Source organism: Homo sapiens, chromosome 1 (assembly GCF_000001405.40).
Source record: "Homo sapiens chromosome 1, GRCh38.p14 Primary Assembly".
In the NCBI taxonomy this organism is placed as follows: domain Eukaryota; kingdom Metazoa; phylum Chordata; class Mammalia; order Primates; family Hominidae; genus Homo; species Homo sapiens.
In genome coordinates, this window is record NC_000001.11 from 44,767,815 (window position 1) to 44,781,500 (window position 13,686).

Genomic DNA, 13,686 nt, shown 5'->3' on the forward strand with positions numbered 1-13,686 from the left:
CCTTTGGCCTCTGGGTAGTACTGATTCTGTACTCCTTCCAGGAGGCCATATCCACACCTACAATTCCAATGACAAGCTGAAGACTCCTGTGACTTGTTTGATGTCTATGAGATGCTTACTAGGCCTGGGAACAGAAACTCTTAAGTAGAAGGAAGATGGCCGCCGGGCACGGTGGCCCACGCCTATAATCCCAGCACTTTGGAAGGCCAAGGCGGGCAGATCGCAAGGTCAGGAATTCAAGACCAGCCTGGCCAACATGGTGAAACCCCATCTCTACTAAAAATACAAAAATTAGCTGGGCATGGTACATGGTGGCACGCACCTATAGTTCTAGCTACTCAGGAGGCTGAGGCAGGAGAATTGCTTGAACCCGGGAGGCGGAGGCGGCAGTGAGCCGAGACTGTGCCACAGCACTCCAGCCTGGGAGACAGAGTAAGGCTGTCTCAAAAAAAAAGGCCAGGTGTAGTGGCTAACACCTGTAATCCCAGCACTTTGGGAGGCCGAGGCAGGTGGATCACCTGAGGTCAGGAATTGGAGACCAACATGGTGAAACCCCGTCTCTACTAAAAATCCAAAAAATTAGCCGGCCGTGGTGGCGCATGCCTGTAATCCTAGGAGGCGGAGGTTGCGGTGAGCGAAGATCGCGCCATTGCACTCCAGCCTAGGCAACAAGAGCGAAACTCCGTGTTAAAAAAAAAAGAAGATGGCACCCTATTACAGTCAGCCCAGGGCCTGTTAAAAGATTCTGTGGGGTTGAGGCCAGGAGTCCCCCTGACTGAGGGCTCCCTGAACACACATTTGCTTAAAACCTTTTAGTGATACCTCATTACCATTCACACAAAGGCTGATGAAAGCACTTAACTTGCTGGACAGGGAAGGATCCAAAGGGAAACACCAATTTGGTCTTGAAAAAAAGTCTGTCCAGTGGACTGAGGGCCCAGTCATAGGGCATGAACAGTTTAGGAACTGGAGAACTCTATATTCCATGTCATTGAGCATGGATTATCTGAATGGTAATGAGGTGCCACTAAAAGGTTTAACCTAGGAACCATACAAGCAAATGTGTGGGAAGCCCTCAGTCACAGAGACTCCTGGCCTCAAGCAATCCTCCTACCTCGGCCTCCCAAAGTGCTGGGATTACAGGCATGAGCCACTGCACTATGCCAGCAGTTCACTTTTATTTCTAGTTTGAGTCTTTTAATCGCCAAAGGGTATTGGATTTTGTCAAATGCTTTTTCTGTGTTTTGAAGTGATCAGGTGGTTTTGTTTCTTCCTTTACTCCATTTGTTTCTTCCTTTACTCCTTTACTCCATTAATATGGTACATTAAACCTGGGAAAACCAAGCAAATACAATGTGGTGAGTAGAACAATAATTTGCTCGAATATTTAGTGCCATTTAAATATTTATTGAGTGAGGCCGAGGCGGGCAGATGGCTTGAGCTCAGGAGTTCAAGACCATCCTGGGCAACAAAATGAGACTCAGTCTCAGCTGGGTGCTGTGGCTCATGCCTATAACCCCAGCACTTTGGGAGGCCAAGATGGGCAGAAAACAAGGCCAGAGTTGGAGACCAGCCTGGCCAACCTGGTGAAACCCTGTCTCTACAAAAATGAGCTGAGTGCTGTGGCTCACACCTATAATCCCAGCACTTTGGGAGGCCAAGATGGGCGGAAAACGAGGCCAGATTGGAGACCAGCCTGGCCAACCTGGTGAAACCCTGTCTCTACAAAAATGAGCTGGGCGTGGTGGCGCATGCTTATAATCCCAGCTACTCGGGAGGCTGAGGCAGAAGAACCGCTTGAACCCAGGAGGCAGAGGCTGCAGTGAGCTGAGGTCGCACCACTGCACTCCAGCCTGGGCAACAGAGCAAGGCTCTGTCTCAAAAAAAAAAAAAAAAAAAAGACCCAATCTCTACAGAAAATACAAAAAGGAGCCAGGCGTGGTGGCATGTGCCTGTGGTCCCAGTTCCTTGGTAGGGTAAGGTGGGAGGATGGCTTATGCCTGGGAGGCAGAGGTTACAATGAGCCGAGATTGCGCCATTGCACTCCAGCCTGGGCAACAGAACCAGTCCCTGTATCAAAAAAAAAAAAAGAAAAAGGCTGGGCACGGTTGGTCACACCTGTAATCCCAGCACTTTGGGAGGCCGAGGCGGGCAGATCACAAGGTCAGGAGATCAAGACCATCCTGGCTAACATGGTAAAACCCCGTCTCTACTAAAAATACAAAAAAAAAAAAAAAAAAATTAGCCAGGAGTGGTGGCAGGCGCCTGTAGTCCCAGCTACTCAGGAGACTGAGGCAGGAGAGTGGTGTGAACCCGGGAGGCAGAGCTTGCAGTGAGCTGAGATTGTGCCACTGCACTCCAGCCTGGGCGACAGAGCAAGATTCTGTCTCCAAAAAAAATAAAATTATTGAGTACTTATTAAATAGCAAGCATTATTCTATGTATAGGTGTTAGAAATATGGCAGTGAATAAGACTAAGTTTCTACCCTTATGCACATAGTATTTCAGTGGAGAAGACAGATAATGTGCATGTAAACAAATGATAGGTAGTAAGTGGGTAGAGAAAGATGAGAGAGTGTTGCTGCTTTAGAAAGCAGACTCAGAACTGTGGCCTGAGCAGTATAATGAGACCCTGTGTCTAAAATTAAAAAAAAAAAAAGGCCGGGCGTGGTGGCTCAAGCCTGAAATCCCAGCACTTTGGGAGGCCGAGGCAGGCTGATCATGAGGTCAGGAGATCGAGACCATCTTGGCTAACACGGTGAAACCCCATCTCTACTAAAAATACAAAAAATTAGCCAGGCGTGGTTTTGGGCACCTGTAGTCCCAGCTACTCAGGAGGCTGAGGCAGGAGAACGGCATGAACCCGGGAGGCAGAGCTTGCAGTGAGGCAAGATCGCACCACTGCAGCCTGGGCAACAGAGTGAGACTCCGTCTCAAAAAAAAAAAAAGAAAACACTACCCTTCTGCTCTACATTCCTTTCCAGCCAACAACCTAATTCTCTCTTTCCCCTTTAAAGTCATACCTCTCAAAATAATTGTCTACATACATTGGATTTTTTAACTTCCCATTCTATTTCAAGTTTTTTCCCACTGTACTGTACAGAAACTGCTCTCGCCAATATCACCAAGGACTTTCGGGTTACTAAATCCAATAATCACCTTTTTTTTTTTCTTTGAGACGGAGTTTTGCTCCTGTCGTCCAGGCTAGAGTGCAGTGGAGTGATCTCGGCTCACTGCAACCTCTGCCCCCCAGGTTCAAGCGATTCTCCTGCCTCAGCCTCCAGAGTAGCTGGGACTATAGGTGTCCACCACTGCACCCAGGTAATTTTTGTATTTTTAGTAGAGATGGGGTTTCGCCATGTTGGCCAGGCTGGTCTCGAACTTCTAACCTCAGGTGATCCACCCCCTTGGCATCCCCAAGTGCTGGATTACAGGCGTGAGCCACCGCACTGGCCTAATAATCACTTTTTAGTCTCATTTTAACTAGCATTCACAGCAGCATTAAGCTACGGCAGCACCCTGTGTTGGCTTTCCTCTAGTCACTCTAATTTCTCTTTCTGTGTCCTTTGCCAGCTATCTTTCTCTATCTGGCCTTGAAATGACAACATTCCTTTGTTTTTTTGCGGGGTGGGTATGGAGTTTCGCTCTTGTTGCCCAGGCTGGAGTGCAATGGTGCGATCTCAGCTCACTGCAACCTCTGCCTCCTGGGTTCAAGCGATTCTCCTGCCTCAGCCTCCTGAGTTGCTGGGATTACAGGCGTGTGCCACCACGCCTGGTTAATTTTGTTATTTTTAGTAGAGACGGGGTTTTGCCGTGTTAGTCAGACTGGTCTCAAACTCCTGACCGCAGGTGATCTGCCCATTTTGGCCTCCCAAAGTGCTGAGATTACAGTCGTGAGCCACCGCACCCAGCCGAAATGTAGATATTCCTAAAGCCTTGGACCTATGTTTTTTCTTGTATTTTTTTCTTTCTTTTTTTTTTTTTTTAATAGGCAGCTGGAGAGGCTGCTTAGGTCAATTATTTTCTTTTTTCTTTTCTTTTTTTTTTTTTTTTGAGACAGGGTCTTGCTCTGTTGCCCAGGCTGGAGTGCAGTGGCATGATCATAGCTCACTGTGACCCTGAATTGCAGGCTCAAGCAATCCTACAGCCTCAACCTCCCGGGCAGCTAGGACTACAGGCACATACCACCATGCCTGGCTCCTACATATTTTTTTTTTTGAGATGGAGTCTCGCTCTGTCGCCAGGCTGGAGTGTGACGGCGTGGTCTTGGCTCACTGCAACCTCCGCCTCCCGGGTTCAAGCGATTCTCCTGCCTCCCAAGTAGCTGGGACTAAGGTGCGCACCACCACACCCAGCTAATTTTTGGTTTGTTTTTTTTTTTTTTTTGAGACGGAGTCTCTCTCTGTCGCCCAGGCTGGAGTGCAGTGGCGCTATCTTGGCTCACTGCAAGCTCCGCCTCCTGGGTTCACGCCATTCTCCTGCCTCAGCCTCCCGAGTAGCTGGGACTACAGGTGTCCGCCACCACGCCTGGCTAATTTTTTGTATTTTTAGTAGAGATGGGGTTTCACCGTGTTAGCCAGGATGGTCTTGATCTCCTGACCTCGTGATCTGCCCGCCTCAGCCTCCCAAAGTGCTGGGATTACAGGCGTGAGCCACCGCGCCCGGCCTAATTTTTGTATTTTTAATAGAGACGGGGTTTCAACATGTTGGCCAGGATGGTCTTGATCTCTTGACCTCGTGATACACTTGCCTCAGCCTCCCGACATGCTGGCATTACAGGCGTGAGCCACCACCCCGGCCTCCTACATATTCTTTATAAGAAATGTTAAACACTATACTTTAGGGATCATTTCTATAGTTTGTTGCTAGGGAAGTTTCTCTGAACATGTACAGCACTGCACAAAAATCAAATCAAAATGGATTAAAGACTTAAATCTAAGACCTCAAACTATGAAACTATGAAACTACTACAAGAAAACACTGGGGGAAATCTCCAGGATATTGGTCTGGGCAAAAATTCCTTGAACAATACCCCATAAGCACAGGCAACCAAAGCAAAAAATGGACAAATGGGATCACATCAAGTTAAAAAGCTTCTGCACACCAAAGGATACAATCAACAAAGTAAAGAGACAACCCACAGAATGGGAGAAAATATTTGCAAACTACCCATCTGGCAAGGGATTAACAACCAGAATATTTAAGGAGCTCAGCTCTAAGCAGGAAAAAACTAATAATCTGATCAAAAAATGGGCAAAAGATTTGAATAGACATTTCTCAAAAGAAGACATACAGATGGCAAACAGGCATATGTAAGGTGCTCAACATCACTGATCATCAGAGAAATGCAAATCAAAACTACCATATCATCTCACCCCAGTTCAAATGGCTTATTTCTAAAACACAGGCAATCACAAATGCTGGCGAGGATGTGGAGAGAAGGGAACGCTCGTACACTGTTGTTGGGAATGTAAATTAGTACAACCACCATGGAGAACAGTTTGGAGGTTCCTGCACTGCTGGGTATATACTCAAAAGAAAGGAAATCAGGTTGGGCGCGGTGGCTCACTCCTGTAATCCCAGCACTTTGGGAGGCGTAGGCGGGCAGATCACTTGAGGTCAGGAGTTCAAGACCAGCCTGGCCAACATGGTGAAACCCCATCTGTACTACAAATACAAAAATTTGCTGGCATGGTGGCCCATGCCTGTAACCCTAGCTACTTGGCAAGCTGAGGCAGGAGAATTGCTTGAACCCAGGAGATGAAGGTTGCAGCGAGCCAACATCGCACCACTGCACTCCAGCCTGGGCAACAGAGCGAGACTGTCTCAAAAAAAATTAAAATTAAAGTTAAAAAAGACGAATGGCGCCAGGTGTGGTTGCTCACGCCTGTAATCCTAGCACTTTGGGAGGCTGAGGTGGGCAGATCACCTGAGGTCAAGAGTTCGAGACCAGCCTGGCCAACATGGTGAAACCCCATCTCTACTAAAAATACAAAAATTAGCCAAGCATGGTGGCGCATGCCTGTAATCCCAACTACTCAGGAGGCTGAGGCAGGAGAATTGCTTGAACCTGGGAGGCAGAGGTTGCAGTGAGCTGAGATCATGCCACTGCACTGCAGCCTGGGTGACAGAGCAAGACTCCGTCTCAAAAGAAAAAAAAAGATGAATGGATAAAATGTGGTACATATGTACAATGGATTACTATTCAGCCATAAAAAAGAATGAGATCCCGTCATTTGCAACATCATGGGTAGAACTGAAGGTCATTATGTTAAGTGAAATAAGCTGGGCACAGAAAAACACACTTATGCAAAGAGAATCGCATGTTCTCACTTATTTGTGGGATCTAAAAATCAAAACAATTGAACTCATGGTCCTAGAGAGTAGAAGGATGGTTACCAGAGGCTAGAAAGGGTAGTGGGAGGGTAGGGGGAAGTGGGGATGGTGGGGATGGCTAATGGGTACAAAAATAAAATATCATCATAAATAAGACCTACTATTTGATAGCAAAACAGGGTGACTATAATCAATAATAACTTGTGTATTTTATTTTTTTGAGACAGAGTTTTACTCCATCACCCAGGCTGGAGTGAGTGCATTGGTGCCATCTCGGCTCACTGGAACCTCCACCTCCCGGTTCAAGTGATTCTCCTTCTTCAGCCTCCAGACGGAGTTGCTGGAATTACAGGCGCCCGCCACCACGCCCGGCTAATTTTGTTTTGTTTGTTTGTTTTGTTTTGAGACGGAGTTTCGCTCTGTCGCCAGACTGGAGTGCAGTGGTGCGATCTCGGCTCACTGCAACCTCCAGCTCCCTGGTTCAAGCGATTCTCCTGCCTCAGCCTCCCTGAGTAGCTGGGATTACAGGTGTGCGTCACCATGCTCAACTAAATTTTGTATTTTTTTAGTAGACACGCGGTTTCACCATGTTGGCCAGGCTGGTCTCGAACTCCTGACCTCGTGATCCGCCCGCCTCCGCCTCCCAAAAGTGCTGAGATTACAGGCGTGAGCCACCGCGCCAGGCCTAAAAATTTTTTTTAATTAAAAAATAGATATCCTTCTAGCTCAGAAAAGTTAGCTGATCCCTCCTTTATACTCTCTTCCTAAGTTCCGTTCATTCTGGTGGCTTTAATTACCATTTATAAGCCAACGATTCCCAAAATAACATCTTCGGTGCAGATCCCTTATAAGGATGACCAGTCATTAATATTCAGCTTCCTATCTGTTAGTCCCACTCAACATGACTTAGCAAGATCTCAAAATGAACGTGTCCAGAACAGCTCCTACCTTAGCCTACCCCATCTCAGTAAATGGCCCCAATATTTATCCGATTGATCAAGTGACAATCTTAGGAATCCTTGACACCGCCCTCTCCCTCAATCCCCATGTCCAATCTACCACCAAACCCTTCAAAACAAAACCCAAGTCCACACTCGTTTCCAATTCCATTGCCTTCCACTCTTTTTCAACGCAGCCGCACCCACATCTCATCCTAAACGACCGCAGCAGCCTCTGAAACTAGTCTAAACACGCCCAGATCTGCCGACGCCGCAGACCCCCTTCCCCCAGCCCAGGGTCGGAGGCGAGTCGCCGGGGGTCGGCAGAGGTCAGCAGCCTGCGAGACCCTCCTAGGCTCGTGGCCCTAGGCGCGGCAGCTGACACGTAAGTCTCGTCGCCCGACGTTGTTTCGGCGCTCAGAAACAACGTAAAGTAAAGGGGCGGGGCAGCGTTTTACAAACCGAACCGTGAATCTTTGCGGTTTCTCTTTCCAGCCAGCGCCGAGCGATGGGTGAGTGTCGCTCTGCATTGAGGCGGGTGAAGGGAGGTTGAGCTCAATCAGGCCCCATCCTGCTTCACAGCCTACTGAGGAGTCCAGACGCCCCGACCCCCGGCCAGGGACAGCCACGAGGAGTGGTGGCCCTCGGGTTTCGGCCGCCCAGCCCGTCTCTGGGGGCTGCGAAGGCTCTGGGCTCCGGGTTCCGGGCCGCGGGCTGCGGGCTCCGAGCGGCGCCAACATGGCTGCCGCGAGGAGGAGGCCCCGGCCTGGCCGCACGTGTATGATGACAACTCGGTAATGCTGCATACTCCCGAGTGCGCGGTGGGGAAGCCAACCTTGGAGAGCTGAGCGTGCGACCGGCCCGGCGCGGGGGTCTCCGGGAGCTGGCGAGTCGCTAGCACCGAGTCACAGTGGCTCAAGCTTCCTTCCCCGCTTCCACATGCAGGCATCTCTCGGGACAACTGGCACAAGCGCCGCAAAACCGGGGGCAAGAGAAAGCCCTACCACAAGAAGCGGAAGTATGAGTTGGGGCGCCCAGCTGCCAACACCAAGGTGGGTGCGAGCGTGGGCCTGTCCGCCTGGGAGGTCGCCTTCCCCCGCTCTCCAGCGTGCTCGGGTCTTTCCGTGTGACAGTTGTGCGTTCTTTCTTGGGCTCTGATTTCTCTGTAGTAGGGCCTGGGTGTCCTGTCCCCCTTTAGCTGTTGGATAAGTAAGTACCAAAGAGGGAATGCTCCCTCAGGCCCCCAAACCTGGAGCTTAGGATTTCAGAGAGAAGGATACTGTGTGGGGACTTGAGCTTCTGGAGAGGGTGGCGCCTCGCGTCATAGTCAGAAGCCTAGTCTTGTTTTTTTTACAGAGGCTTAATTTTCAGCATTTGGGGTCAGGCTTTCCTCTTGGAGGCAAGTAGGGTGATGAAAAAGAATCCTTAGGCGTGGTTGTGGCCGTCTTGGTCACCTGTGTGCCACTTGCCAATGCAAGGACTTGTCATAGTTACACTGACTGTTGCCTCCTCCCGGCCCAGGTTCCTCTCCCTCACTTGCCTTGCTCTCCTTGGTAACCTAGTTCCTGTAACCTTGTGTTTTCCAGATTGGCCCCCGCCGCATCCACACAGTCCGTGTGCGGGGAGGTAACAAGAAATACCGTGCCCTGAGGTTGGACGTGGGGAATTTCTCCTGGGGCTCAGAGTGTGAGTGAGGCCCTTTGGGAGTGGGTGGGAAAACGCACCTAAACGGTCTTAAGATTCACCAAGTGGGCCTGGCGCGGTGGCTCACGCCTATAAGCCCAGCACGTTGGGAGGCCGAGGCGGGCGGATCACCTGAGGTCAGGAGTTCGAGTCCAGCCTGGGCAACAGAGCGAGACTCTCAGTAAAAAAAAAGATTCAAGTGCTTTTAGCAAGTAGTCTGTGGCTTAGACCAAGGCATTTGAAGTTTCTCCTTGCTGAAAGATCTTAAGGTAGCTGGGGAGTTCTCTCCACCCAGGCTGTCCTGCTCCAATCTCTTTTTTTGAGATTGGGTCTCTGTTGCTCAGGCTGGAGTGCCAGTGGCGTGATCTTGGTTCACTGCAGCCTCCGCCTCCTGGGTTGAAGTGATTCTCCTGCCTCAGCCTCCCAAGAAGCTGGGATTACAGGCGTGTGCCATCACACCCGGCTGCTTCTGTATTTTTAGTAGAGACGGGGTTTCACCATGTTGGCCAGGCTGGTCTCAAATTCTTGGCTTTAAGTGATCCACCCGCCTTGACCTCCCAAAGTGCTGGGGTTACGGGCGTGAGTCACCGTGCCCGACCTGCTCTGATCTTTCTGAACTCTGCAGCCTGAGAGATTGGGGCTGGTAAAGACTGCGGGTTGCCAAACATAACTAGAAACGTGGGTTAGGGGGTTGTGGAAGACGAACTGATGCCCCATGGCTTGTAAAGGCTGAGAGTTCCCTTATTTCTCCTTAAGGCCTCATGGGGCTGAAGAACCTGGAGGAGTGTGCCAGGGCCATTTGTCCTCCAGTTTACTTGATGCCAAATTTCTCCTGTGAGCAGGTTGTACTCGTAAAACAAGGATCATCGATGTTGTCTACAATGCATCTAATAACGAGCTGGTTCGTACCAAGACCCTGGTGAAGAATTGCATCGTGCTCATCGACAGCACACCGTACCGACAGTGGTACGAGTCCCACTATGCGCTGCCCCTGGGCCGCAAGAAGGGAGCCAAGCTGGTGCGTGTTACTTCCCTGTAGGGGTTGTGGGGAGGGCAGCCTGACTCCAGCCTTCTCGTGATGAAAACTCTGTCCAGTTCTGCTACTGAAGGGAGAGAGATGAGAGCCTTTTAGGCTGAGGAAGGCCAGCACTGGGGTGTGCAGGGTTCGAGAAAGCTCCCAGGGCCTGCCTTCCTTCCCTGAGCTCATATATTTGTATCCCCTTTTCAGACTCCTGAGGAAGAAGAGATTTTAAACAAAAAACGATCTAAAAAAATTCAGAAGAAATATGATGAAAGGAAAAAGAATGCCAAAATCAGCAGTCTCCTGGAGGAGCAGTTCCAGCAGGGCAAGCTTCTTGGTGAGAAGGCTGTTGTGTTGGAGGTGGGGAGTCGCAGAGATTGAGTGTGCCGAGGCACTTTTCCCTTGTCTCAGTTCCTTTGACTGCCAGCCATGCAGTCTAAAGGGTTCACTGATAACAGGCTGCGAGCACAAAGGGGAACGTTTGGTCACCCTATTCGTATGAAGCTGAAATGGGAAGCATTGGGTAGAAGAGTCTGCATAGGCCCGTGCTTGGAGTCTTTGTATTTGGGGAAGTCTCTGCCCAGGCTGAGGGGGCTGTCTCAGTGATGAAAACTTTGTCCAGTTCTGCTACTGACAGTAAGTGAAGATAAAGTGTGTCTGAGGAGACAGCTGGCTTCATGCTTGCCCCCAGGGTACCTGAACCCACAGAGATTCTTAAGCGGGTGGAGAGGTTTGGGTAGGGCCACCTTGTCGTTGTGCTAAGGATCACCTACTCTCTTGCAGCGTGCATCGCTTCAAGGCCGGGACAGTGTGGCCGAGCAGATGGCTATGTGCTAGAGGGCAAAGAGTTGGAGTTCTATCTTAGGAAAATCAAGGCCCGCAAAGGCAAATAAATCCTTGTTTTGTCTTCACCCATGTAATAAAGGTGTTTATTGTTTTGTTCCCACATTTATGTTGCCTGAATATATGACTGTTTTCTCTGCTTTATTTCCTTGCCCTGCAAAACTGATCTGGGTGGGTGGCTGCAACCCCTTGCCTTAACCTCTGCCTCCTACTGTCCTGAGCCAGGCTCACCACACTGTAAAGTCCCTGTTCTCAACTCCATGTCCCTGAAGGCCAGATTTATTATGTGGGCTATGTCTATAGTGGGAACATTTCTCACCACATTTTGGTGGGGATAGGGATGTGGCAGAGGCTATGAGGGGGTATCCCAACCTTGGGGTTCAGTAATATTGTGCTGGCTGAGTCATGATTAGAATCTCAGGCTATATTGCTTATAAAAAATTTTAAGGATCTTGTACCCATTGTAAGATTAACAGTGATTTCTGCCTTGCTTGGTCTCCAAGGGTCACTTCTTTGACTTAAACTTGCCCTGTCAAACACTTATCTTTAGTCCTGACCTGCCTGACATCTGCACTTGGATTTTTTTTTTTTTTCTTTTTTTGAGACAGTCTCTGTCACCCAGGCTGGAGTGCAGTGGCATGATCATGGTTCACTGCAGCCTTTACATCGGGGCTCAAGTAATACTGCCTCAGCCTGCCAAGTAGCTGAGACAATAGGCACTACACCCCTTTTTGTTTTGTTTTTGAGACAAAGTTTTGCTCTTGTTGCCCAGGCTGGAGTGCAATGGCGTGATCTCGCCTCACCGCAACCTCTGCCTCCTGGGTTCAAGGGATTCTCTTGCCTCAGCCTCCCGAGCAGCTGGGGTTACAGGCATGCGCCACCACACCTAGCTAATTTTGTATTTTTAGTAGAGACAGGGTTTTTCCCTGTTGGTCAGGCTGGTGTTGAACTCCTGACCTCAGATGATCTGCCTGCCTTGGCCTCCCAAAGTGCTGGGATTACGGGCGTGAGCCACCATGCCTGGCCTATACCCATTTTTTTAAATTATTTTTTTTGGTAGAGACAGGGTCTCACTTCATTGCCCAGGTCTTGAAATCTTGGGCTCAAGCAATCTTACCACCTTTGCCTCCCAAAGCGCTAGGTTTCAGGCATAAGCCACCACACCCAGCTTTGCACTTGGGTTTTTTGTTTTTCGAGACAGAGTCTGGCTCTGTTGCCCAGGCTGGAGTGCAATGGCGGGATCTTGGCTCACCACAACCTCCACCTCCCAGGTTCAAGCGATTGTCCTGCCTCAGCCTCCCAAGTAGCTGGGATTACAGGCGTGCACCATCATGCCCAGATAATGTATTTGTAGTAGAAACGGGGTTTCTCCATGTTGGTCAGGCTGGTCTCGAACTCCCATCCTCACGTGATCTGCCCACCTCGGCCTTCCGAAGTGCTGGGATTACAGGTGTGAGCCACCGCACCCGGCCTGCTTTTTGGGTTTTTTTAGATAGTCACTCCGTTGCCTAGACTGGATTACAGTGGTGTGCAATCTCAGCACACTGCAACCTCCGCCTCCTGGGTTCAAGCAATTCTCATGCCTCAGCCTCCTGAGCGGCTGGAATTACTAGGTGTGCACTGCCATGCCCAGCTCACTTTTTTTTTTTGTCCTTGAGGCATTTTATTTGTAAATATATGTATTACATCCCTAGAAAAAGAATCCCTGGATTTTCCCTCCTGTGTGTTTTCGTCTTGCTTCATGGTCCATGATGCCAGCTGAGGTTGTCAGTACAATGAAATCAAACTGGCGGGATGGAAGCAGATTATTCTGCCATTTTTCCAGATCTTTGAGTTGCACATCAAATCTGGGGCTGATCGCTCCACACTTGTTTAGCCTGCCTGTGAGGTTCACAACAATTTTCCCAGCTCTGTGATCATCAGTGATTTCAAATTCGCCAATGTAACCATGCTTCATCATCACAGTGAGAAACTGGACGATGACTTTGGAGCATGGCCTAAGAAGCACCTGGCGTTTGCCTCTCTTTTCGGCATTGTTGATGCTCTTGAGAGCATCTGCCAGGGCATTCATGCGCACCATTGTGACGGCGTGGAAAGATGGCGGAAAGAGGACGGGAGGGGAGAGCGCACGGAGTTATGGGCCACTTTTTGTATTTTTAGTAGAGAGGGTTTCACTGTTGGCTAGGGTGGTCTCCAACTCCTGTCCTCAAGTGATCCACCCGCCTTGGCCTACCAAAGTGCTGGGATTATAGACATGAGCCACTCGCCCAGCTTTGTGCTTGGATATTTTAATAGGGCTCCCAAAGGCCAGCATTTTCAAAACTGAGCTCTTGTCTGCCCCCACCTGCCATGTTCCTCAGTTTCAAGAGTCAGGATCTCACACTAGGCTGGAGTGCAGCGGATCGATCATTGTTCACTGCAGCCTCAATCTACTGAGTAGCTGGGACTACAGCTGTGGTGCAGGGCCCAGAATAATCATTTTATTTTTTTGTAGAGATGGGGTTTCTTGTTGCCCAGGCTAATCCTGAGCTCCTGGCCTCAAGCAATGCTCCTGCCTTGGCCTTCCAAAGTGTTGGGATTACACATGTGAGGTACTGCACCCCACCAAGATTATATTTTTAATGCAACAGCTTCCTATCTCATCAATGAAAATCCTTACCAAGTATTATGACTTGATGTGACCTAGCTCCTTCTATAGTGACTCCCTCCATCAACCACACAACCATCCTAGTTTACTGAACATACATGTACACATGCTATTCCCTTTGTTAGGCACGCTCCTTCAAATATCCACTTGGGGCTGGACACTGGGCATGGTGGCTCATGCCTGTAATCCCAGCACTTTGGGAGGCAGAGGCCAAGGCA

The 13,686-nt window shown here is 49.5% G+C and overlaps 1 protein-coding gene, 4 non-coding genes and 1 pseudogene across 5 annotated transcripts, besides 5 other annotated features; 5 read left to right on the forward strand and 1 right to left on the reverse strand.

Moving 5' to 3' along the window:
• Positions 7,726-10,965, forward strand: RPS8 (ribosomal protein S8). Its single transcript, NM_001012.2, has 6 exons — positions 7,726-7,786; positions 8,220-8,326; positions 8,861-8,960; positions 9,800-9,975; positions 10,186-10,315; positions 10,762-10,965. The coding sequence occupies exons 1-6, from the start codon at positions 7,783-7,785 to the stop codon at positions 10,869-10,871; spliced, it is 627 nt and encodes a 208-aa protein (NP_001003.1). The 5' UTR covers positions 7,726-7,782; the 3' UTR covers positions 10,872-10,965.
• Positions 7,770-7,979: a silencer, noted in NCBI's record as "silent region_817". NCBI's record gives its function as "represses an Ori minimal core promoter by ATAC-STARR-seq in GM12878 lymphoblastoid cells {active_cell/tissue: GM12878}" and the evidence as "EXISTENCE:reporter gene assay evidence [ECO:0000049][PMID:35858748]".
• On the forward strand, positions 8,051-8,124 carry SNORD55 (small nucleolar RNA, C/D box 55). The gene has a single exon (NR_000015.2). It is a non-coding gene; the product is annotated as a small nucleolar RNA, C/D box 55 (small nucleolar RNA).
• Positions 8,060-8,349: an enhancer, noted in NCBI's record as "active region_945". NCBI's record gives its function as "activates an Ori minimal core promoter by ATAC-STARR-seq in GM12878 lymphoblastoid cells {active_cell/tissue: GM12878}" and the evidence as "EXISTENCE:reporter gene assay evidence [ECO:0000049][PMID:35858748]".
• On the forward strand, positions 8,678-8,775 carry SNORD46 (small nucleolar RNA, C/D box 46). The gene has a single exon (NR_000024.2). It is a non-coding gene; the product is annotated as a small nucleolar RNA, C/D box 46 (small nucleolar RNA).
• Positions 9,924-10,435: an enhancer, noted in NCBI's record as "H3K27ac-H3K4me1 hESC enhancer chr1:45243410-45243921 (GRCh37/hg19 assembly coordinates)". NCBI's record gives its function as "activates a minimal SCP1, AML or CMV promoter by ChIP-STARR-seq in primed H9 embryonic stem cells {active_cell/tissue: H9 hESC(primed)}" and the evidence as "EXISTENCE:reporter gene assay evidence [ECO:0000049][PMID:30033119]".
• SNORD38A (small nucleolar RNA, C/D box 38A) lies at positions 10,028-10,098 on the forward strand. Its single transcript, NR_001456.1, has one exon. It is a non-coding gene; the product is annotated as a small nucleolar RNA, C/D box 38A (small nucleolar RNA).
• Positions 10,576-10,644, forward strand: SNORD38B (small nucleolar RNA, C/D box 38B). The gene has a single exon (NR_001457.1). It is a non-coding gene; the product is annotated as a small nucleolar RNA, C/D box 38B (small nucleolar RNA).
• Positions 11,586-12,086: an enhancer, noted in NCBI's record as "H3K4me1 hESC enhancer chr1:45245072-45245572 (GRCh37/hg19 assembly coordinates)". NCBI's record gives its function as "activates a minimal SCP1, AML or CMV promoter by ChIP-STARR-seq in primed H9 embryonic stem cells {active_cell/tissue: H9 hESC(primed)}" and the evidence as "EXISTENCE:reporter gene assay evidence [ECO:0000049][PMID:30033119]".
• Positions 12,087-12,587: an enhancer, noted in NCBI's record as "H3K4me1 hESC enhancer chr1:45245573-45246073 (GRCh37/hg19 assembly coordinates)". NCBI's record gives its function as "activates a minimal SCP1, AML or CMV promoter by ChIP-STARR-seq in primed H9 embryonic stem cells {active_cell/tissue: H9 hESC(primed)}" and the evidence as "EXISTENCE:reporter gene assay evidence [ECO:0000049][PMID:30033119]".
• On the reverse strand, positions 12,471-12,931 carry RPS15AP11 (ribosomal protein S15a pseudogene 11; annotated as a pseudogene).